This window comes from Homo sapiens, chromosome 2 (assembly GCF_000001405.40).
Source record: "Homo sapiens chromosome 2, GRCh38.p14 Primary Assembly".
Lineage (NCBI taxonomy): Eukaryota > Metazoa > Chordata > Mammalia > Primates > Hominidae > Homo > Homo sapiens.
The window spans coordinates 204,571,016-204,594,731 of NC_000002.12; the positions used below are offsets into that span (position 1 = coordinate 204,571,016).

The following is a 23,716-nucleotide window of genomic DNA, read 5'->3' on the forward strand; positions in this document are numbered from 1 at the left end:
AAGCTGTTGTAACTGAGGTGTATAAGCTGTTATAACTGAGGTGTGTAAATCCGGCTGCTGTTAGTTCTGATTTCTGGATACTTTATTTCTACTACTTCAGGCAATATTTAGAGTAGAAAATCCACTAACTTGCATTGGCTGGCAAAGAAGGTGAAATAGATCCATGTGGGGTTTTGGGAAAAACACTGAACTTGGCATCTGGCCCTGGGGATAGCCCTGACTCTTCTATGAATATGAACTAGCTCTGAAACCGTGGGCAAGGCCCTTGAACTCTCAAGACCTCAGGCATAGAGTAGCTTATCTCTAAAGCTCATCCCCAGCCATAAGAGTGTTTTCTAGTGTCTTATTTATTACTTTCAAGTACACATTTCTAAGTACTAATAACTTTTACATGCTGCCAAGGAGTGGTCTTTTAGGGGCCTATTATGATGAAGTATGATGAATAGATAACTCATTTGTAATTAACTGTGTGTATGTCCATGCAAACAATTTCTGAGCTCTAAGTTTCTCATAATAATTCCCTTCCCATAAGTAGGGTTAAGCCCTTGAAATTTTGTTTGCATTTTTAATTTATACGGAAAATGAATTTTTCTGAGATACCTATATCTCGTCTCCCTAATTAGATTGTAACCTCCTTGAAAGCATTTTGCTTTGTTTTGTTGTTTGCTTTTTGGTTTTAATCCATTATAATGCCTTAAATAGCACTATGTGTATTAGGGACTTAATACAGTAGTAGATGAGTGAATGAGAAGTTAGAGCATAAACTTTAGTTCAGACCAAATTATTGTGAACTTTGAAATATTGTAACAGAAATTAATAAAGATGTAAGTCTATGATCTTATATTACTGTCCTTAATTAAATAATGTGTGTGTGTAATTATTATTGCCGTGGCTACATGTAAATGTGACTTAAAAGGTCAATCACAGTGAACTGCTACAGAAAAAATGGTAGGAGTGGATTCATAACCGTGTAACTTTTTTTCTCTATACTGAAAGGAAATATCATTTTCTCCCCAAGATCAGTCTTTGAGTAACTTTGCGGATCTAGAATAGTGCCTTGCAATTGGGGAAGGGAGAAAGGGAAAGTAAACTGAAGAGTTCAGAAGTGACAGTGGTCAGTTACATAGAGAACAAAGTACTTTGTTAGTTTTCTGGCCAGATAGAAAAGAACACTTTTCTTGACTGGAGATGATTTCTGAGATGAAAGCTTTCTAAGATATGGGGTGCCTGGCCTCCACATCTAGTTTCTTTGGGAGCCAGAGACAAGAGGGGATAAAAAGAGAAGCTTGAAGGAGGAGGAAAAGGAGGGGAGGGTACATGTAGTGGGAATGAGGGGCAGAGTAGCAGACATTATTGCAGAAAAGTGGGGGAGGAAAGAACCAGGCTGGAGGGGCTCCATAGCCTGGAAGGAAGCAGCCCTCTCCCTACACCAGTAGCTCCCTCAACCTTTGTTCTCCTTCCACCTAGCATATTAATTGCTGTTCATGATGATAAATCTGACCACTAGTTACAGGGAATGGGGCTTTTTAACCTATATTTTAGGACTTTGCATCATAAGCCAATTAAAAGAGATGTCTAGTTATTTATCAGAAATATTTCTATAAATACAGAAGCTGTGTATTTTTTTCCTGACAATATCTTAGTTGTTTGGTCCTTTAAGGAACTGAGCTTAGTAGGTAAATACTCTAGACAGCTGTGTAAATTTTGTAAATAAAAATCAGAAAGCTAACTATTCATTTATGTAGCCAGCATTCATTGGCTGGCAAACGTGTCAGAAACTTTGCCAGCCAATGGAAATACAATAAAGATACTATGTAGTTCCTACCCTCTTGTAGGAAGCTATAATTCTGTCTGATGGTGCACATCACTTATAAAGCACCATGTCTCAGAGAGGCTGCTTTGGAAATGACCACTCTCTTCTTGGGAAATTGGGATTTCAGAAGGCCTCCTGGAAGAGATGAAACTTGACTTCTCTGCTATCTTAAATTATTGACTCAAATGTGATCTGTTAGCTAAAGCCACAGAGACTGTGTGTCAACATAGGTGACTGAGGACAGCTCAACTTGGCTGGTGGCTATACCATTCAATCCATCTGCTCTTCTCTTGCCACCCTGAGTCCGGCTGTATCTCAAGTGTGATGCTGGAGTGAAATGTAAGAGGCACTCTGAAATTGACCCAGGTCTCTATACTCTGCAGTCTCTATACTGTCCTTCTCATAACTAGTTTTCACTCTTGATATCTTTTCCACTAGAATGTAAGCAGATTTGTGGGCAAGATAACCATAGCAATATGGTAGTGGTGATGGTGATGATAATATGTAAAATTCATGGAGCATTACTGAACACCAGTATGTATGCGTGACCTCATCTGATGCCTATAGGCTCTGCAGCTGGTAGTGGGGTGGAGGGGCTGTCATTCTCTCCTGACTTAGCAGTGATGTCATTGAGACTTAAAGAGGTTAGATGACCCTCCCATATCAGTCAGCAGCACCAGGAGAGAGATGGTTACTTGTCCTTTTTTTGTGGATGTGTCCATACAACTTCCCTGCCACATGCCCAGCTAATACAGGTTTTTGTTTGTGGTAAGTAATAAGCGACAGATTCTGCTCTGTAGGGTGAGTAAGTTCCATGGTTTCTCCTCGTTGTGATTGGTATACCATCAGAGTGTCCCCGATGCCCTTGGGTACTAAGGCATTGAAATACACATCACTGTTTGTCCTTCTGCCTTGCTCTTCTCCTTTCATTTTACCAGCAAAGACTGTTTTCTTTTGTCAGAGTCTACAGCTCAGCACTCCTGCTTAGTTTCTGCTCTTGGGCATCACCTCTGTCACTGTGGCTCATCCCCAGGCCCTTTCAGACACTGATGGCACCTGCTGAGCCCAGGGTTAACTACTTTCTTTACTCCTCTTTATTCCTCTACTGTCTTATAGCGTCTCCAAGTATGTCTTAGCAGCCACTGCAAGAGGTTGGCCAGCTAGGTAGGCATTTGTTTTGCTTGACTTGACCAGTCACTCACTGTCAGAGCATCTTCCTATTTGTGGCCTTTCTTCTGGGCTTTTCCCTCGGTGGGTGTGGGAGCTCAAGACTGCTACTTTGTTCTCAGAGGTTGTTGTTTGTTTAGTTATTGTGTACAGCTGCCAAGTTGGAGCTGTTTAAGAACCATGATATCAGAAAGATGCTTCATTGCAATAGTAGCTGTTGATTAGAAACAAAACAATCTATTAATTTCCTAACTTTATTATCATTTATGTTCTATCTCCTTCTAAAAGAAATTATGACAAAGTTTTCTTTTTTAAATGAATCCCAACTAGCAGTGATCTCATACTTTATTCATAATAAATTTTGTTTGGATACATGTATTTTATATTTTTAGCTCTCTGGTTTTGACAGAATGACTTTCCCCTCCTTTGGGCAATTTGAATGTTCTTCTATTATGTAGATACTTAACATCTGTGAGAGGTTATAGATTCTTGATTTTTACACGATGGTCTAAGGGAGACATCTCAGTATGGACAGGCAGCATAGCGTGTTTGTCATTTGTGTGGGCTCTTGAGCAAGATTTTCTAGATTGAAGTACAAGCTCTGCCATATACTAGTTGTATGATCTTAGGCAACTTACAGTCACTGTGCTTCTGTTCTTATCTGTAAGATGGCGTTGCAGGGTTGCTGTGGAACGCTAAATGAGGTCACATTTCTGAACTGCTTATATGGTGCTGGACACACACTAACAATCTAAGTGTGTCTTCTGTATCATGTCTGTGTTTCTCAAGCAGACTTTGAGCAGGTCCAGCTATGGTATCTCTTCCCAGTAGCTACATGGGGCCCAACACATAGTTTCTACTCAGGTTTGTGAGTAGATACATGAATGTATAAATTAACAGCATACGCTTTACTAAATTTCCTTAGTTAATTGTTTTTTATTTAATAAGTTGTTCTTCCAAGTTCCAGTTCTCTACTCTTCAGATGACTCTGCTTTAGTTATGGGTTTTTTATTGATTCATTATAATTACTTTGCTGATGTTTTTTTTTCTGGCTGTCATAGCAAGCAGCAGTCATTAGCTACAAGAAGACTCAGCAATTTAGTAAGAACTGTCTTGGTTTTGAGTTGTCTACCAAATATAACTTAACCTAAGACAGTAATATACATGGTTTCATTACAATCTGTATATTGTTAAACATGCATAATTTCTAAATTTATGCAAACAAACATTCATTGCTGTGTGTCTCCTAATGCTGTACTTGAAATGAATTTGCTTTTGGTTTTAAAGGCATTCATTTAATGGTTGGAGTGAACCTTTAAAATATTAATTGCATCTTGCTTTTAAAAATTTAGACATTAAGCCACTCCCATGAAAACTCAAGTTATAAAGAACCTAAGAATTATTTAAATAGTTCAGAAAATATGATATGTAGGCTTCTTTTAATTCATAGCAATATGTAAATTATTGACCCTCTGAAACCCCTTGATGCTAAGAAAGCAGTTCTCGTTTTCCTCTTCCATTCGTTGATACAGCTGAACTGGCATTTTCTCTTCCCTTTTGTATAGAATGGACTTAGGCTGGAAATGCTTTTGGATGATGTGGTACTTGCGTGTGGTGTCATCTCTGCTAGAGATGCAGGCCCCTGCCTGTTCTCCTCCTGGCTCTCTCTGGCTGTGGGGCTCACCAGTGCTGAGACAGCTGGAGCTGACTGGAGTCAGCACTGTAATACACTGTTAGAGGTTGAGGATAGGTGTGCTTGGTTGATTTAACACTTTATTTACCTGGTGAGTTCAGCTTTTGTGGTCTTGGATGATTCCTGTGCTTTGTTCAGTAGAATCAGTCTTCACTGTCCCCTTAGATATAAGCCCCTGTGGAGTTCCAAATCTGTTAGTCCTGTCCTGTGATTTGGTTGCTCAGGCGGTTCTTGCCCTTGCTATGGGGAGCCTTGATACATGGCTTGTAGGTCCTGCCATGTTAATTGACTGTTAGTCTAATATCGTATCTCTGTATTGTAAGGTTTTCAGGTTACAAACCTCTTATCTCTTCCTTCTGGGGACCCACTTCCCCCTAATCTCCCTTATTTTAGAGTTACTGAAGTAGCAACTAGAACCTTGCAATAAATAGCTCTCTCTGCCTTGACATCATCTAGCCTTTGGTCTGATTTTTGAATATTTGATTTGGATATTTGACTCTTTTTAAAGTTACACAGTAGCTTGAGGGTGCCCTAAAGAGAACTGCCTCTGGCCAGCAGGCTGGGGTGCTGCTATTTTTGAAGACAGGCCACCCTAACCTTGCTACACTAGAAGTTTGTGCGCAAGTACCCTGGGACACAAGGTACATTTGAATGTGTCTCTGTAATCACCAGCAAAAGAAGGGGAGTTGGATCTAAGTTTACTTTTCTTATGGCAGTATCTGTTTTGTAAATCAATGAATACCCATACATTGTTGCGGCAAAGTTTTTTTTCCAGTTAAAAATGATAACTCTTCTATCTGGTGGTTCTCAACATGATGACAGCATGCATGTGTGTGTGCTCTTTTTTTCAATTAACAATAAAATAACTCCTCTAATGCTGATGCAATAGGCCGGTGGTTCTCAACCTGACAGCAGGATGTGTGTGTGTGCACGCATGTAAATGAATATACATGCTTGAGTGTGGTTATATTATATAATGGAATCACCAGTGAGACTTTTCCACAATAAACATGTCTAGTTTCTACCCACTCCCACACATTTGGTTTCCCAGGGGTGGTGGCGAGTGTTTGAGTCATCTACAAGTTCTCATCTGCTTCCCCTTATGGTGTCTTTCAGGCACACTCATGAGAGGGTTGTAATCATTTGTCATGGATCATAACAACAATATGGAATACAACCATAATAACATATACTGAGCAATTACTGTGAATCCACTGCACAATCAGAAACCGTGCCGTGTTTTTAATGGATATTTTTCTCTTGCACTAAGCTAGGGCATTGACTTCATAATTCTACCATGATAGTGTTTGAATTTGAAATAAAACTTGAAAAAAATTATTTTTCTTGGGGGGGGATGGGATAGTTGGGTTTCGTAAATTGATCAGAGTGTATTGTTTTTAACTCTACCAGAGAAATCAAAATAACTTATTTACATATCTTTGTACTGCAGGCTAGAGCTAACAAATATTTATAATATTGTGTGGCACTATTCATACTACATGGCAGATGAGGAACCTTGGGCATAGAAAGTTAAATGATATGATGATAGGAATACCTAGTGTTTAATGTGTGCTTAATATGTGCCAGGCACTTTCTAAACACTTTGCATATGTTAATCTATTTAATCCTCACAACAATTCCAGGAAACATTTACTATTATCATTATTATTTTGTAGGTGGGTAAACTGAGTCTTAGAGGTTTAGTACCTAGCCCATGGTCACCCAGCTGGCAATCGGCAGAGCCCGGTTCCAAGCCCAGCCTGTCTGGCTCATGTTGCACAATTCCCTTGGAATAAAATGGGGATTTGAACTGGGTCTTCTGCTTCAGTACTTTCTCTTAGAGCTACATTGCCCCGGTTTTTAAAGGGTTTTCTCACTTTTATTTGGTTTTAATTTTTTTAGAGACAAGGTCTTGCTTTGTCACTCAAGCTGGAGTGCAATGGTGGGATCATAGCTCACCGTAACCTTGAACACCTGGGTTCAAAGGATATTCTCACTTCAGCCTCCTAAGGAGCTGGGACTACAGCATGTGCCACCACACCTGGCTAATTTTAAAAATTGTTTTTTTTTCTTTTCTTTATGTTTCTCATGCTGGTCTCAAACTCCTGGCCTCAAGCAGTCCTCCCACCTTGGCCTCCCAAAATGCTGGGATTATAGACATCAGCCACTGTGCCCAGCCAGTTTTCTCACTTTTAAATGATGGTTTGTAAAGAGTGATACTTTATTTAGATCAGTGGCCCTCGTTGGGGGTGGCTTTGTCCCCTAGGACATTGTGCAATGTCTAGAGACAATTTTGGTTATCACAGCAAGTGAGAAGGTACTTTTGGCATCTGTTAGAGTGAGGCCAAGGATGCCGCTAAACATCTTACAACGTAGTGGACAGCACTACCCACAGCAAAGAAGTGTCAGCCCAAATGTCGGTAGTACAGAGGCTGAGAAACCCTGTTTTTAGAGTGTTTTGCATGATGCCTTTTTCTCTAAGAGGAATCAATACTTTAGTGTACAGTTCTGCAAGATATTTTTTTAGGCTGAAGAGTAACAAGGAAGCAGGGTAGAGCTGATACTAAACTTACATAGGGAGCGTCTTGGCTTTGAGACTCTTCATCCATGACTGGATTAGTTATTTTAAAAACTCTGCTTGCGTGGACTCACAGGATCACAAATTCCAAACTTAAGGACCTTTCATCTTCTGGAATATAGCTGGGCTTGAGGTATTATATGGAGTGTGTGTCTATGGGCATCGGTGTGGTGAATACTTCTTTGTATATATATATTTTTTGTGTGTGTTGTACAAGAGTGACTTCATAAAAGGTGGCTCTTGCCAGAATTCAGAACACAGCAGGTAATGTACTTACTGAAGAGGTAAGAGCATGAGTAATTCTTGTCTCATGAGAAAGATGTAAACTAGTTTATTATAATGATGTAATATTTGGGTGCCTGATTTATCATCCCCATCTCCAATGATGCAAAACCTTAAGAACTACACAGGTGATAAAAATTCAAATGGTGTCTTTGAAGTCCGGCCTATTCCCCTGAGCAGTTAAAAGTGTCACCTTTGTCCTGATACGTTGCTGTTTGTGGATGTTTCCGGAGATCACGGTTAAAATCTTGAACTATGCACTCTACTATGGGAAGTTTTGGGATGTTTATTCCGTGAGAGAGGTCATAATCTGGGAAGATGAGAGTCATTCAGCTAATAGGGCAGGAAAATATCACAGTCAAGCTGTAGACTTGGGATGATGGGAGTATGGAAGAGATGATTCCTCCTGTGTACTGAGGGGAACCAGGAGAGGGAGAGTTGTCAGGAAGCGTGTGGTCTTTGAACTGGATCTCGTTTTAGGAGAAACTTGAGTTGTCCCGGTTGAGAACCAGCTTAGGCAAAAGTGTGGCCACTTTAGGGCAGGCTGGGGGCGGGGATATGAAAGGAAATCATCATCATCATCATCATCATCATCATCATCACAACAACAGTAATAATCATAATCATGGCCGCCATTTTGTGAGTACTGCTCTGGGAAGGCACACTCTAGAGGTTTTAAGATACACTCATTTAATCCTTGCAGCAATCTCATGGGGTTGGTATTATTATAGCTGTTACAGACAGGAAATCCAGGGTCTAGTAAGGCCAGGGTCCGGTCCCTCCTGACAGTACTCTTGTGCCCCTCGAGCAGCAGTCCCTTCTGGTTCATTCTTGGTGGTTCCCAGGGAGCGCGAGGAATGATGTCAGCAGAGCCGTGCTGTGACTGGATGAACACAACCCTGGGAACAATGCCTTTGGCACAGCTCTTTAAAAAGAAGTAAGTTGGGGCTTCATCTAAGGAAACTGGCTCTGTTCTACTCAGTCTCGTAGGAATTCTTAGAAATGTTGTGACCTGGAAAATTGGAGAGGTATGATTTGATTAATTTGCACATTTAAGTATGACAGTGTAACTAGAGAGTAAACAAATGGTAATTATGCCACAAAGCTTTCCTCCAATGGAGAGTCAGGGTCAAGGCAATCTGGAATCTTTGGCTTTTCAGATTAGTTGTGAACATGGAACAACAAGCTCATTCCTCCCCTCTACCCAGGGTGGACCCCTGTGTGGGGGATGGGGAAGTAGTTTTCCTTGCTTGGCTACAATAGCTTAGATTACCATACACTCATCTCTGACTTAGATTTTATACCTTCTTTTCCCCCATCCTACCCTGTGAAGACAATTGAAGGCTAGGGTTTGGTTAGGAAAGTAGCAAGTTAATAATGTATCAGAAAGTTGTTGGCAGTTGTGTTTCCTTGAATGACTCTTCTTTGAAGCTACATTGTTACAGTGATGTGTGTAATTTGACCTACTGTTCAAAAAGAATTCATTTCCATCCCTTCCTTGTTCGTTCATTCATCATGCGTTTATAGAAGCCAGTCCTTGACCCAGGGGGACCCATAGTCTAGACTCTGGAGGAGAGCACAAACATGGGAACCAGTAAGTATAGCTGTGGATGTGAAAAGTAAAGAGACAGAAGTAGAGAGCTTCCTTCTAAAGAGAGAGGGGAAAGAGTGGGAGGCAGCCTTTATTTCTAGGGGTACTTTCTCTCTCTTGTTCCATCCTCCGTCCTGGACTGATACCCTCCCTGCCCTTTGCATCCATGTTTTTTTTCCCTCTTATCCAGAGTGAGTCTCCTGGGAAACCCAGGCCTTCTTTCTGGGAGCTCCTCTCTCTTCTTCGTCACTCATGCCCAGGGTCACACTGGAGCTTCACCACCTTTTTCTGATACTGATAAGTTTCTTCAGCTTTGCATTCTTGCCTCATTTTTCTGTCATCTGACCCTAGCCGATCCTATCACTTGTTATGGAGGTAGCTAGAAGCACGTGAGATATGGAAAGTGTTGTACTGGAAAATACACAGCAGATATACAAATAACTCCACCTGGGCGAGGGAGCATTTTCTTAGGCTGGGTATCACCTTGGGTTTGAGGTGCACCTTCTCCCTAGGTGTCATTTTGGAGTCCCCGCCTTCTTAAAAATGTGCTATATAAGTATTGTCCACGTATGACCTCATTAATTCATTGAATATGGCAGAATTGATTGATTGGGATTTGGAAGGGCTCTATAAGAGAGACTGTGATCTTGTCAATCTCTCTAATAACAATCTGCGTGACACATACAATTAATCCCTTCCTTGGAAAGGAGTTGGGGGAGTAGAATCATAAATTTGGAAGCAAACATATCTTTTGTTAAAGTATATTTTTAAATTACAGTACTCATCTGGAACACAGGTGACATTTCTATCAGCAGAATTTCAAATTTATGCAGACTCGTTATTCTGCTTTGAAAAGCTTTATTTCCTTTGCTAACTACCAGATGGGATATTATAGTTATGAATCCCTAATTCTAATGAAATACAAGCCAATAGATGTATCACACTACGTTTTTCAAACCATAGACTATTACAGGCATGAAGCACAAGAAGTCTAACCCATTTTAAACTGATTAATTTAATTAGGAGACAGGTTTGGAGGAACAGAAAATTGCTTCTTGTTAGTTCTCTGAGCACTGCAGTTATAAGACTGTATGCTCTGCTCTAACACAGGTCTGTTCTCTCTGAGGTCATCTAATTCTCCTAAAAGGGGTTTTAGATGCTGAGTTGCATTTGTAAGTAAATTCTTTATTCTTTTTCTACCTTCTTTCTTTTTTATTCCATAGTCATTAAAGCCTTGCCGTGTTCTTGTTATGAACTGATAAATGCTTTGTAATTACTCTGTAACTAAAAATGTTAAACTTGAATGGTTATATGGATTTTTTTTTTATTTTTTTAAAAACTCACTGGAGAAAGGAACAGTGTTGTGGGGGTATAAAAAGAATTCTGACAGAGAAGAGCAGAAAACAGAAACTAGGTGTGGTGGGGGAGGAATGGCAGAAGTGCCAGGGTCTCTTGGTCCATGTCTTGAGCATTTACTGTTTGCCAGCCACCTTTATGTGGGTTGACCATATATACCATACCAGGGCTTGATATCCCTAAATCCTCAAAAAACTCCATGAAATTGCTACCTGTTTTCAGGATGCAAAAGCTAAGGCACAAAAATGTTAGTTATCTTGCTCAAGGTTACACAGCTAGTAAGGTGGAGACTAAATTTGAATCCAGGTGGGATGATTGCATCCTACAAAGTTCTTGACCAGAGAACTAATGTGGGGTTGGACCCACCCAAGTTCCAGTCCTACTCTGCTGCTTCCCAACAATGTGACCTTGGGTAAAGTTATTTTAACCCCTTTGAGACTTTTCCCCAATTTGTAAGTGGGTTTAAAGCACAGTATAAGGTTGCCGTGACTTTTAAATACTGTGATGTGTATTAATGGTTTGGCATGCAGAAGGAGCTTGGTGAACGTTGCCTTTTTGCCCTTTCATGTCATGTCCTGGGGAAGTAGCAGTGACAGCCTGCAGCCTCTGTTCTTCTCGAATGTTCCCAAGGTATGAGGCACCTCTGAGAACTCCCAGAGCTCTGCATAGGTTGCTTAAACGTACAGCCCACTCAATGAGATAATTTCTAAGGTTTCTTCTTGCCCTTATCTTTAGTGACTCCAAAGTTTAATTTTCATAAATTCATGTCTACCTAGTTACATCTTGCAAAGTGTAGGACTGCCTTTGCAGTTGATCTGTCAGTTTGTGTGTGTGCACAGCTGGAAAAGTGTGTTTTCCATGTAGAATGAGAGAATTTGCCTGGCACTGTCATTTATTTTTCTTAAGGAAAGATAAAAGTTTAGTTCTTTGATTTCTTTCTTGGGATTAGTTTTTTCTTGACTATCAAGAAAGAAGGGAAACAAGTTTGAGTGAAAATAGATTGAGGTTCCCCCCCCTCATTTCACACTATTAAAAGAGTGACACCCAACTTCTTAGGTTTCTCTTCCACAGCACGGGTGGGTTTTGTAGATTAATGTATGCTACTGAGATGTTGAGTCAGGGTTGGATTAGGGAGGAGCTCCCCTCCTTGCATTTCTCCCACTCTGTCCTTTCAGTCCCTCAACCAGCTAAGTTCATGCCTGTAGTTGGTTAGAAGGGAGGTTTTCTATACAGCTTGAGAGAAACATTTAACAGGGTATCTTCATGTTTGTGTAGATGTCATTTGCTTCATTAAAAGCAACAGAGTGACTTTTTAATGATTGCCATTCTAACTGGTGTGAGATGGTATCTCATAGTGGTTTTGATTTGCATTTCTCTGATGGCCAGTGATGATGAGCATTTTTTCATGTATTTTTTGGCTGCATAAATGTCTTCTTTTGAGAAGTGTCTGTTCATGTCCTTCGCCCACTTTTTGAAACAACAGGTGCTGGAGAGGATGTGGAGAAATAGGAACACTTTTACACTGTTGGTGGGACTGTAAACTAGTTCAACCATTGTGGAAGTCAGTGTGGCGATTCCTCAGGGATCTAGAACTAGAAATACCATTTGACCCAGCCATCCCATTACTGGGTATATACCCAAATGACTATAAATCATGCTGCTATAAAGACACATGCACACGTATGTTTATTGCGGCATTATTCACAATAGCAAAGACTTGGAACCAACCCAAATGTCCAACAATGATAGACTGGATTAAGAAAATGTGGCACATATACACCATGGAATACTATGCAGCCATAAAAAATGATGAGTTCATGTCCTTTGTAGGGACATGGATGAAATTGGAAACCATCATTCTCAGTAAACTATCTCAAGAACAAAAAACCAAACACCGCATATTCTCACTCATAGGTGGGAATTGAACAATGAGATCACATGGTCACAGGAAGGGGAATATCACACTGTGGGGACTGTGGTGGGGTGGGGGGAGGGGGGAGGGGTAGCATTGGGAGATATACCTAATGCTAGATGACGAGTTAGTGGGTGCAGCGCACCAGCATGGCACATGTATACATATGTAACTAACCTGCACAATGTGCACATGTACCCTAAAACTTAAAGTATAAAAAAAAAAAAAAAAAAAAAAGCAACAGAGTGTATACCTGTGACATTTACTAATGTGTGAGGTGTCTGAGGACCACCTGCGTGAGAATCCCCTCGGGTTATTACATAAAGAGATTCCTGGCCCACTACAGACCCACAGAATCAAACTTGTAGTGTCATTATTTTGTGATGTGAAAATATTCTTTTCGTGTATTGATCAAACCTCTGTTTGAGAAGCAACCATGCAAACTTATCACATCATTTGACCTTGTTCAGATCTTGGTGCACACATTTTCAGGGCTAATTTTCTCCCACTGCAGCTTGCTGCTGCCAGTGAGGGCCTGCTTGCCCAAGTTCCTGGTGACCTCACTGGTAGGCTGGGCTGGGAGTGGTTGGTGACGTTGCCAGGGAGACTGAAGTTGGGGGCATGCAGCCTGTGAAGCCAGGCAAGGCTGGAGCCAGGAATTTGTAGTTCACAGAATTAGATGCAAGGGTGAGGTGGTTTGTGCTCAGAGGAGATGAATTTACCAATCTTAGTGGGCAGAGGAGAGAAATGGGATTCAAATAACTGAAAGGAGAGGTAGCAGGAGACTCCAATGTGATGGGGATGGAGATGGGGCAATAGGGCCAGACCTTGGATCAGGTCTTTTCCTCAAGGTATTTATGGTATGACTTGACAGTCTAGCTACTGGGAATTTTTGCGGTAATTGAATATTTAGACATTGAGTATAATGCATTATATGGGTTAAGTGTATATATTGCTTATATAAGTAAAGAGTATAATTGAAGATAGCTAGTAACAGCTAAGAGTATAGCTAGTAAAAACATACTAGAACTAAAAATAAGCTCATTTCTGAAAAATGCATCCTTTACTACCCTATACCTACTATTTTAGAACATTCTAGAAAATGTAAGAATACACAAGCATACGTTCTTACATTCTAGTGCAGTGGTCCCCAAACTTTGCTGCACAAAAGGGCCATCTGGGTAATAATTTTAAAAACATAATGATGTCTGGCTTCTACTCCTAGACATTCTTATTTAAATTCTATGGGATATGATGTGGACATTGGGGTTTTAAAAGCTCTCCAGTCCCTCATTTTATAGATGAGAAGATTCAGGACTAGCAAGATTGTGAATTTTTCCAAGGCCACGTGGTTTAATAGTGGAGACCGGATTGAATAAAGAAAGGTCTTCTGACTCTTAGCTCAGGGCCCAGAAACCACTGGGCCTTCCAAACAAAGGGAATTTAAGACAGGGCATTGTCGACACAGGTGATGCAAGAGTTGAAAAGGCAAACTCCAAATGGTGAGGAACTCAGAGACCAGCAACAGCAGGAAGCAACTGCATCATCCGTAGGGTTGGAGAAATGATGGGAGCAGGTGGTGTTTCTGGATCCCAGAGACTGGAGCAACCTTGGAGGGAGCTAGGACCAAGATGGTAGTGGAAGACTGTGTCTGATGGGAGCCAAGACTCTAGAGGGGGCTAGAGATGCCACCTGAAGTGCATGTGTTGGGTGGATACCCTTGCTTCTCCCTCTTCCCTCTTGTTTTCTTGTCTTCCACCAATGCTTCCTATTGGCCCAGACCAGTTGGGAAGTGTGGTTTCCTTCAGGACAATGGAGGCAGCAGACCTGAAAACAACCCAGCAGTAACTAGCCCTGTGGTCTTTCTAATGTACTGAGGTCTTGTGATTAGAGCAGAACTCCATTTGGACACTGTTTCTCTTTCTTTCTTCTTTTTCTTTCTTTTCTTCAGATCTTGCTCTGTTGCCCAGGCTGGAGTGCAGTGGTGCAATCATAGCTCACTGTAACCTCGAACTCCTGGGCCTGAAGTGATCTTCCCATCTCAGCCTCCTAAGTAGCTGGGACTACAGGTGGATGCCACCATGCCTGGCTCTTTTTTTTTTTTTTTTTAATTTTTTGTGGAGACAGGGTTCAGCTATATTGTCCTGGCTGGTCCCAAACTCCTGGCCTCAAGTGATTTTCCTTCCTTGGCCTCCCAAAGTGCTGGGATTACAGGCATGAGACACCACACCAGTCTAATGGGCAGATAATTTCTTATATTCCTTTTCATAAGTGGTGTGATTGATAGGCTTCTAGGTTGCTATAATATACGTCTGCACATTTTCATTAATACCTTCTTTCTGTGACGATTCACCTCTCTCCCATTCAACATGTTTACATTTTTACATTTTTTATACTTAAAATATATATAGTTTTAAAAATACGCATTGTAATCTTATCTGTGCTAAATCTTAAACATTTGTTCCTTTGAAGACTAGTTACTTCCTAGATATATTGCCTAAAGCCAGATGATCCTATGCATGCATATGAGATGACAGATCTTACTTTACTATATCATTTAAAAGCATTTTTAAAGAAAAATGGAATTATAGTACACTGCATTTTATTTGTTCTGCCTGATGGGCCAAGTGCTTTGCACCCAGTGGAGCTGAGCCTTGCCAGCCTGCTGTTATAACAGTAGCTCCCCTGTAGAGCTCAGCATTCTTTAGACTTGGCTAATGAGTCTGATGTCATAAAGGGAGCTTTATTAAAATAAATATGGTACCATATTTTCTTTCTAATGGCATTCTGATTAATTCCATCATAAATGCATACCTGACACTCTTTTAATTAATTGAGATAGCAAAGGGATTCCAGCTAGTGATATTGAAAGTGTAGACGGTGTTTTCAACAGCATGTTCCTACCCTGACACCAGTATCAGTGTTTAGTATTACTGTAGATCAGAATCTGAAGACCTATGTCTATTTTAACATATGTCACTGAACGGCTGTGAGAGTAATTAAAGAGTAATGCTTGCCCCTGTTTTGAGGATGTAGCTACTTAAACACTAAGAGATTAAATGTTGCCGAAGGCTACCAGCAAGGGAGTTGTGGAGGCAGGGTTAGAACTGGTTTCTAATTTCTAGCCTTTTGCTTAAATTGCCAACCATGGGTCCCGGTAATGTGTTCTGACTTTATTTTCCTTCAGACTTAATCTGCGGTTAATGATAGCTTTCACAATCAGAAAGAACATGTAGGTCTCGAATTTATGACTTCCATAAATCTACTACTTTCCAACATACCCACAAGGATGGTTTGGCAGAGACACAGCTTGTGGTACACCTATTATCCTTTAGTTAATTGGGCTGTTTTTACTATTTGGGAGATCCTATATTTTAACATAGTACGTGAAATATTAATAGTAAATATGAAATATAAATTTCAAACTTTAAACATTTTGTACCATTACCTAATTTTTAAAAATGCTTATGACTAAACCTGCTGAACATGGCATGTTCGAATGATTATTTTACTTCTGTGGTCTATTCCTCTCAGAAACATTGCCGTCCAGAAAAATCTAATGATTTCTTCTTGTGGAATAGTGGAATGCTAGATAATGGCACAAAACCAGATCCTTCAGACTGTATAAATGCAATGTAAAAATGGAGTGGAAACATTCAGTTTTAGGAAGTTAGTGACTCTTCATGTCCTGTAAAATTGTGTGTATGCATGTATTTTTTTTTAAATGCCAGGAGGTTTGCCAATGGGACTATAGAGGATATGCCAGTGAGACAGAGAAGATATGACTTATACAGACAAGCCAGAATGCTCATTATCAGAGGGATATTTGTAGGATAAATCTTATCTTTTACAGGACGTAAGAAAGATAAAGAACTATTTTATGGTGGTTAATTCAGCTCAGATTGCTGCATTATTTAAAACTGTGAGGGAATCTTTAAAAAAATTCAATTTTCTATTTCCCATCTACTTTAATTACTTTCAGCGGGATTTTATTCATTGTAGGCAATGAATTGTCCACGGATAAATGGAATTGTTGGTAGTCACTTTCACTTTGGAGCTCTTCTATAATCGAAATATGAAGATATTTGCATTGCTTTATGAGGACATTTAAATACAAGAAGTAGGTTTTTATATTTCAGATTGAAAGCAAAGAAAGCTACCTCACTGATTCTAAATTCACTTTGTAAAATCTCGAATTACTGAAATTAAGTTCATTCAGCTCAAATAAGCCAATTGTTTTCCCTTTGCTCCAAGGGAGAAGAGCAGGCTCTGTACCATCTTGATTGGTTTTTTATTTGCTCATCCCCTGATATGATTTGGCTGTGTCCCCACCCAAATCTCATCCTGAACTATAGTTCCCATAATCCCCACATGTCATGGGAGGGACCCAGTGGGAGGTAATTGAATCATGGCGGTAGTTACCTCTATGCTGTTTTTGTGATAGTGAATGGGTTCTTATGAGATCTGATGGTTTAATAAGGGGTTTTCCTCCCACTTTGCTCTGGACTTCTTGTTGCCACCATGTGAAGAAGGCCTCCCCAGCCGTGCTGAACTGTGAGTCAATTAAACCTCTTTCATTTATAAATGACCCAGTCTTGGGTGTGTCTTTATTAGCAGCATGAGAATGGGCTAATACATCCCCCTTTTGTAATACCGTGAGGGAGGGCGTGCATTAGAATTGTGGTATTCCAGTAGGAAAATGAATACACCATAACAAGTCATGGTATCTGACTTTAGAACACAAACCATTTGTTTCTGATGTTGATGTGCAGACTGGCTTCCGTGACTTGGACTTGCATTCTCTTGGTCATGTCAGATTTAAGATTCTTTTATGCAGAACAAGCTAAACAATATCATGGAGTTATAGGAACCTATTTATTGTACATGTAATGAGATAAAGGTGGCCTGTAATAAAACAGTGCTTTTTAATATTGAAGATGCTGAAACTCCTGGAGAAGCAGGTAACCTGCGTATTTAATTCAAGGACTGAATCATAAGAGCTCATCTTTGGGAAGGAGCTTACCATCATTTAATGCTGGATTTTTACCTTGCTTCCTACAGAAACTATTCCCCCCACTTTGATATGCAAATATTTCCATTGGGCTTTTGGTTTCTTTTACAGTTTTCCAAGGCACTACATCATTGTATTTGGTAATTTCACTTTCTTTGTGTAATTGTTCCTAATCTTTATTCTAAAATCTTATCCTACAATAGTTCAATGAAAGGTGCTTTTCTTTTTCTTTTAATGTTTGGAATACTGCACTTAATGGAGATTCCCATGTTTACTTTAAAAATATTCAAATTTTCAGAAAAATGTATTCCCCACTTTATCCAAATGAAGAGTAGTCACTGCAGAAATCTTTTTATTAGAATCATAGCATTAACATTGGAAATTATCTACATCAGTTCCCGTTCAATGCAGAAGTCTCTAGGCTTAGTTTTGTAGAGTACAGAGAGGGCTAGGCATCTGTACTTCAATCTACAAATCCTCTTTTCCTCAACATCCCTCCTAAAATGTGGTTTCAAGGTGGCTATGGCCTTGGTTTTCTTTCTTTCTCAAGCTCTTCAGGATGCCACATTAAAAAAAAATTGACAGATGTGATAAAAATTTTGATGTTAAGACCCGATAAATATTTTTATAGATGCCTCACCAGTGTGCTTAAGGGACACCCACGGAAGGTAGACTGGTGGAGGCTTAGGACAGTACTGTCTCCCTCAAGGAGCTGTATATACCTGGAATTATGGCACATGCTCACATGGCATAGTTAGGACAGAACATAAGAGATCTGTGATTAGGTGGCAAAGCATATAAAACAACTACTAGAAAATGGTCATGGGAAGGGAGGGGACAGTGTTGAGCCTTGGCAAATAGATATTGGAGCAAATGATTTGCAAGGAGACTGATCTGATGGAACAGTATTCATGTTTGAGGCTGGTAGTAATAAGATGGGATAAATCAAATAGGACAAAGTCACTAACAGGCCTCAAATGTCACTGTGCCGATTTTGAACTTGACATTGAAGTTACTGGGAGCCAGTATGGACTTTCGAGCACTGGTTGACTAAACGAAGGCAGAACTTTTATCTATTTCACTTGCTTAGAATGCCTAGCAATGTGAAAACAGTTAAATCTAGAAGACCAAATATAGCTGTTGCACAAGGTTCTAGAAGACCAAATATAGCTATTGCATGAGGTTCTAGGCACTGAGAGCAAGTTTGACCTGAAGAGGTCCAGCTTTGGATGGATGGACCAGAAAGGAAAAAAATCAAAAGGATTTTTGGTAATTGGCAACGATAAAGAGGTTTTGAATCTAAGATAACCATGAGTTTTGGTGCAAATGGCAAGGACAATGTTGGTGCCATTGACAAAATTAGGGGAATTATTTTGTTTCTTATTTCAGCACTGAAATATGGAAATTTAATTTGCTTTTGAGCAAATCAACTTTTTGGCACAGTCCCTTGTTTCAATACTTAAGACCAGGCCCAGTGAGCAGATGGGAGATGGGGACTTGCTTCTGGAGAATTAGAGCTTTGAGTTCTAGTCTGCCATTGATCGATTACAATCAAGCAAATCCCTTCCTCCCTTGATATTTCCCACATATGAAATGGGAAGGATAATGGGTTTCTGCTTAGAGGGTGATTGTATTAGTCTGTTCTGACTGCTATAACAAATATGCCATTATTATCACAATTCTGAAGGCTGAAAAGCTTAAGATCAAGGTGGGGGCAGACCCAGGGTCTGGTGAGGGCTTGCTTCCAGGTTTGCAGATAGCCATCATCTCTCTGTCCTCACAGGGTGGAGAGCAGACAATGAGGAAGGTAGCTCTCTCCTGTCTCTTTTATAAGGGCACTAATTCCATTATGAGGGCCCCATCCTTATGACTTAATTACCTTCCCAACGCCCTGCCTCCTAATACATCCCATTTGGGATTTGATTTCAACATATGAATTCTGGGGAAACACAGATGCGCAGTTTGTAACAGTGATTGTAAAGGATGTGCAAAGAAACGTTGGCAAGAATGCTGTGCAAATGGACCTGTCTTTATGCATACTCTCCTTTATTGTTGATGTGGGTGTTAAAGCCCATGACCAGTCATTAAGAACCCTTACTCCACTCTCTTCTGGGCATATGGCAAGTGAGATTCTGACTTTAATGGCTGGGATGGGGAGAAAGGAGCTGGGAACATATGAGAAGGACCTCTTTGTCTTGTGTCTGTTTCAGCAGCAAGAGAGAAGACATTGCTTGCAGCCAGAAGGAAAGGGACTGTCTCCAGGAAAATGTAGCCTTTAGTTAGCAGAACTTACTTTAGAAGGACTAGGACTCAGGCTTTTAAATAAAGTGTTGAAGTCTCTGTTCATCTGCATGTGTGTGTTGAAAGAATTAGTCAAAATATCTGACCTTCACTTTTTAGGACTGAATCACCATTCTTTGCTAAAAACCCTGAGTATGGAGTGATAATAACAAGAATCAAAAGGTGTTTTCAAGTTGTATATACAACATAGATAGGGTTTTGTTTTAAAGATAGGCAGTGAGACTTTTTCTGTATTGTAATTTTCATTAGCATTTTGTAATAAATTTAGTATCTCCAGTTGGGGTTCAATAACTTAAAATGAGAAAAATTGCAATTTTAATAATAAGCACAGGTTGATTGCCTACTTTGTCTTTTGTATTAAAATGAATGTTGCAATTACTGTGTATTAATACCCAGCAAACTATGTTTCTTTTTCATCTGGAACTAGAAAGTATTACTTCTAAACAGGCACACACAATTTATCCTTGTAAATAAAATAATTCTAAGTGTGCATGTATATGTTTATTATGAAGCCATCTTTCAGAATGCACCAAATGGAAGGAGAGAGGAGCTGATTGTCTTTTATTGTGGGGCTGACAGAATGTTTATTAATGGCCATGGATTTGAAATGAGCATCTTACTAAATGGAAGTCTTTGGCCAACCTCTGACCCTTTTGTCTTAAAGGTTTGAGAACAGATAATACGAAAGAATACCAGCTTTTTTCCAGATGGCTGCATGCCTGATGTTCCTTTATGTTTAGCTGTCATTCAAATATGAATGCCCAGTGATTATAAGTGTCTCTTTCTCTTTTCTGGACTGAAATGAAACCTTTTATGCATTGTGTGTTAAAACAGATTAACTGTTTGGCTCATCAGTAGGGAAATTAGAACAATAGCTGCCAATTCAATGGTATAGTAGAAGAATGTCCTTTGGGGCCAGGGGCTAAGGTTCATAAGCAAATGGTATGTACAAGTGTCAGACTGGGGAAGGACAGACAAGTTATAAAAATAATTCGCCTGAATTTTAATTTTATAACTGCGTTGGAGTAGTAATATCTTTTAGAAGCAGGGAGGATTTAGATAAATTTTTACGAACTTTTACATATTTTTTAGTTGCTCCATTAATAATTTCTTGGAGTGCTGTTGTACACGATGAATTTAAAATGATGGATTTATAGATAATGTGTCTTATGAAGACATAATGCAGAATTACTGTATGTTTCCTTAACTTTTTAGTGTGCTAAAGTTGTCTTTTAAATATATGTATTTCATAAGGTAGAATAATGGATAATTTGAATGTCATTTTTCTACCAATACTAACACTTTTGTAATCTGAAATGGAAGTCAAGGTGGACAGCTATCATTTAGGTATGGTTGCAATGCAGACCTGCCCGGAGGGCAAGGGGAAAACTGGTGACCCCTCAGTGACCTTTGTAGGAGATGGCTGGAGGCCAAAGGTCTGAGGGGACCAACCGCATCAATTTAGGAAACTAGAGTACTTTACAAAATGCTAGACAAACTCACATTGTTAGCTCTGAGTAGTAAGGTGGCTGTCATTTTCCATGGAAATCCATAGAATGAGGAAACTACAGTAGTCTTATGACCTAGTGGACGAAAAAGAGCACATGTGAGCTTATTTAACCCCTATGTAAAGAGATTATTTTGGTAACAAGAGGTACTTTTTATGTATTGTTTATAGAAAAGCACAAAGGAAAGCCTACCATGAAATTCTGTTGTTTTAATAACAATTGTGTTTTCTAAAACATCCAAAGATGAAAATAGGCTTAAATAAAATAGGCAGCTATACCACTTTGTAAAACTTATTGTCATAGTATATTTTTGATATTTTCACATTTTGTTTTGTATTATACTTTTTAAAATGATTTTATGCCCAGCTAATTTTTATAACAGCTTTATTGGTGTATAATTCACATCCTAAACAATTCACCCATTAAAAAATGCAGAAATCAATGACTTTTATTATATTCTCAGAGTATTTGCATCCATCACTACACAGTTTTGGAATGCTCTCATACATTCTTCCCCAAAGAAACCCCACTCTTCTTACCAGTTATCCCCTATTCCCACCAGCCCTTGACAATTACTAGTCTACTTTTGGTACTTTTGGTCCCTATGAAGTTGCCCACTCTGGACATTTCATATAAATGGAATTGTACAATCAATATGTGGTCCTTTGTGATTAGCTTCTTTCAGTTGAAATGTTTTCAAGGTTCAACCATGTTGTAGCATGTGTCAGTATTTATTCCCTTTTATGGCTGAATAAATTCTATTGTATGGATATGCCACATTTTGTTTATGCATTCATCTATTGGGGGACATTTGGATTGTTTCCACTATATTTATACTTTTGTTAATTAAGTGTTTTTTCCAGTGAATATTTATCTTGTACACAATATGACTTCTATTAGGTTTTAAGAGGTTAACATCTATGTACGTTTCATGTAAGATTATGGTGACTACCAAAAGACAACTGTGGAGTCAAGGGCTACTATAACAGGTCTTGCACAAAATCCAATCAAACACCATAGACCTCTAGGATCTAAGCATCCTCAACGTAGATTGAGGATCTCCAGAATGGAAGAAATGCTTATGGTTAGCAGTAGAGTGGTGGGTAGGGGAGGGGGCTTGCGCATGGAGCAATGGCAGATGAGCTACAGTATCTTGTAATATCCTCCACAGTACCATACCCTGCCTAGCATGCAGTTGGCATTCAGTAAATACTTGTTGTCTGAGCCCATTTTGTGTAATGCCACACCAATTTACCATCTTCCAAGGGGCAAATTTTCGAATAGTTTGCAGGCTCTCAGCTCTCCCAAGACTAACTAATATCCTGCAACTTAAATAAGATTGTTATCTTGATAATGATTATAGTTGCAGAGTACTCAGTAGTTTATGAATACTTTTATTTGGCTCTATTTAATTTTCTAGGTAAATACTGGGTAGAACAGGGAGAAATCTCATTTGCCAGAAAACTCAGGAGTCAGAAGTATCATTTCTATTAACCAGCAAAGTCAAACTTCACTCCAGGTCCTGCAGCTGCAGAATTTGTGCTTTTCTTCAAATATCCTGCTACTTACACACCTCTCTACCTCTGCCTTTATCTTGCTTCTCCTCTTTTTATTAACTACGACCAGCATCCACTAAGACTTTTGTGGGGACCTCTGAGGGTTTTAGTGTGAAAACAACCTTACTGAAAATGTACACTAAGGAGTTCCACAGTTGTGTCTTGACTGTTTCCTTGAATAAATTCTCTGTCTTACGTACCAATATTAATAGTGATTATGGCACTCCAAGATGCCACACAGTGGTTCCATCAACACTCGGTCCCTGAAACAGAAGTCCAGAACTGAATAAATGAAATGGAGTCTATGATTAAATAATTGCAGTAAAGCAGATACTGGGTAAAAGGAGTTGGCAAGGTTATCTTCATTGATACTTGGAGATGAGGTCGAATGCTAGTGCCAGGCGATACAGGACTGGACTCCTGAAAGGGCATTGTGTTGCCCTTTCACTCATTACTGAGTGTTCCTGTGCATTTCAGTAAATATAACATCTATCTATAAAAGCATCTGTTAGCATGATGAGAAACAGGCAATGCCTATTCCTTTTCCACAGAGTTTACCAACATACTTTCTCACAATAATAGCAAAGAATTAAGATAATCATCACTCTAAGTAGGATGTGAAAGAAATTTAGAGAAGGTGACTAGTGATTATGCGTGGAGAACTTGCTGTATTCAGGAATGTACTTTTATCTCTATCTTAACAGGTGGGCAAGCAAGGGTTAAGTAATTTTGCCCAAGATCAAACGTCTAGAAAACAGTGGAGCCAGACTGTATCCATGCCATGAAACTCCAGCATTCTTATTTGGCATCCCAGTGCTCAGCTGCCACCTGCAGTTGACCGTAATTGCTAATCACCCCTTCTTCCCTTTGTCACTGAGTCCTGTGACTATGCTTCTGAAGTGAAAGTCATTTTTCTTTTTTTTCTCACTTCATACCTCTATTGGTGGT

General features: G+C 39.6%; 1 protein-coding gene and 1 long non-coding RNA gene across 6 annotated transcripts in view; both read left to right on the top strand.

The window, feature by feature from the left end:
* LOC124907967 (uncharacterized) overlaps positions 1-21,989 on the top strand; it is a 34,980-nt gene extending 12,991 nt beyond the window's left edge. The window contains exon 2 of the long non-coding RNA XR_007088056.1: positions 18-21,989. This is a non-coding gene — a long non-coding RNA (uncharacterized LOC124907967). The remainder of the gene's footprint in view (positions 1-17) is intronic.
* The window catches only part of PARD3B (par-3 family cell polarity regulator beta), a 1,074,688-nt gene that overhangs the window by 25,541 nt on the left and 1,025,431 nt on the right, over positions 1-23,716 (top strand). The gene's annotated exons all lie outside the window — the stretch shown is intronic.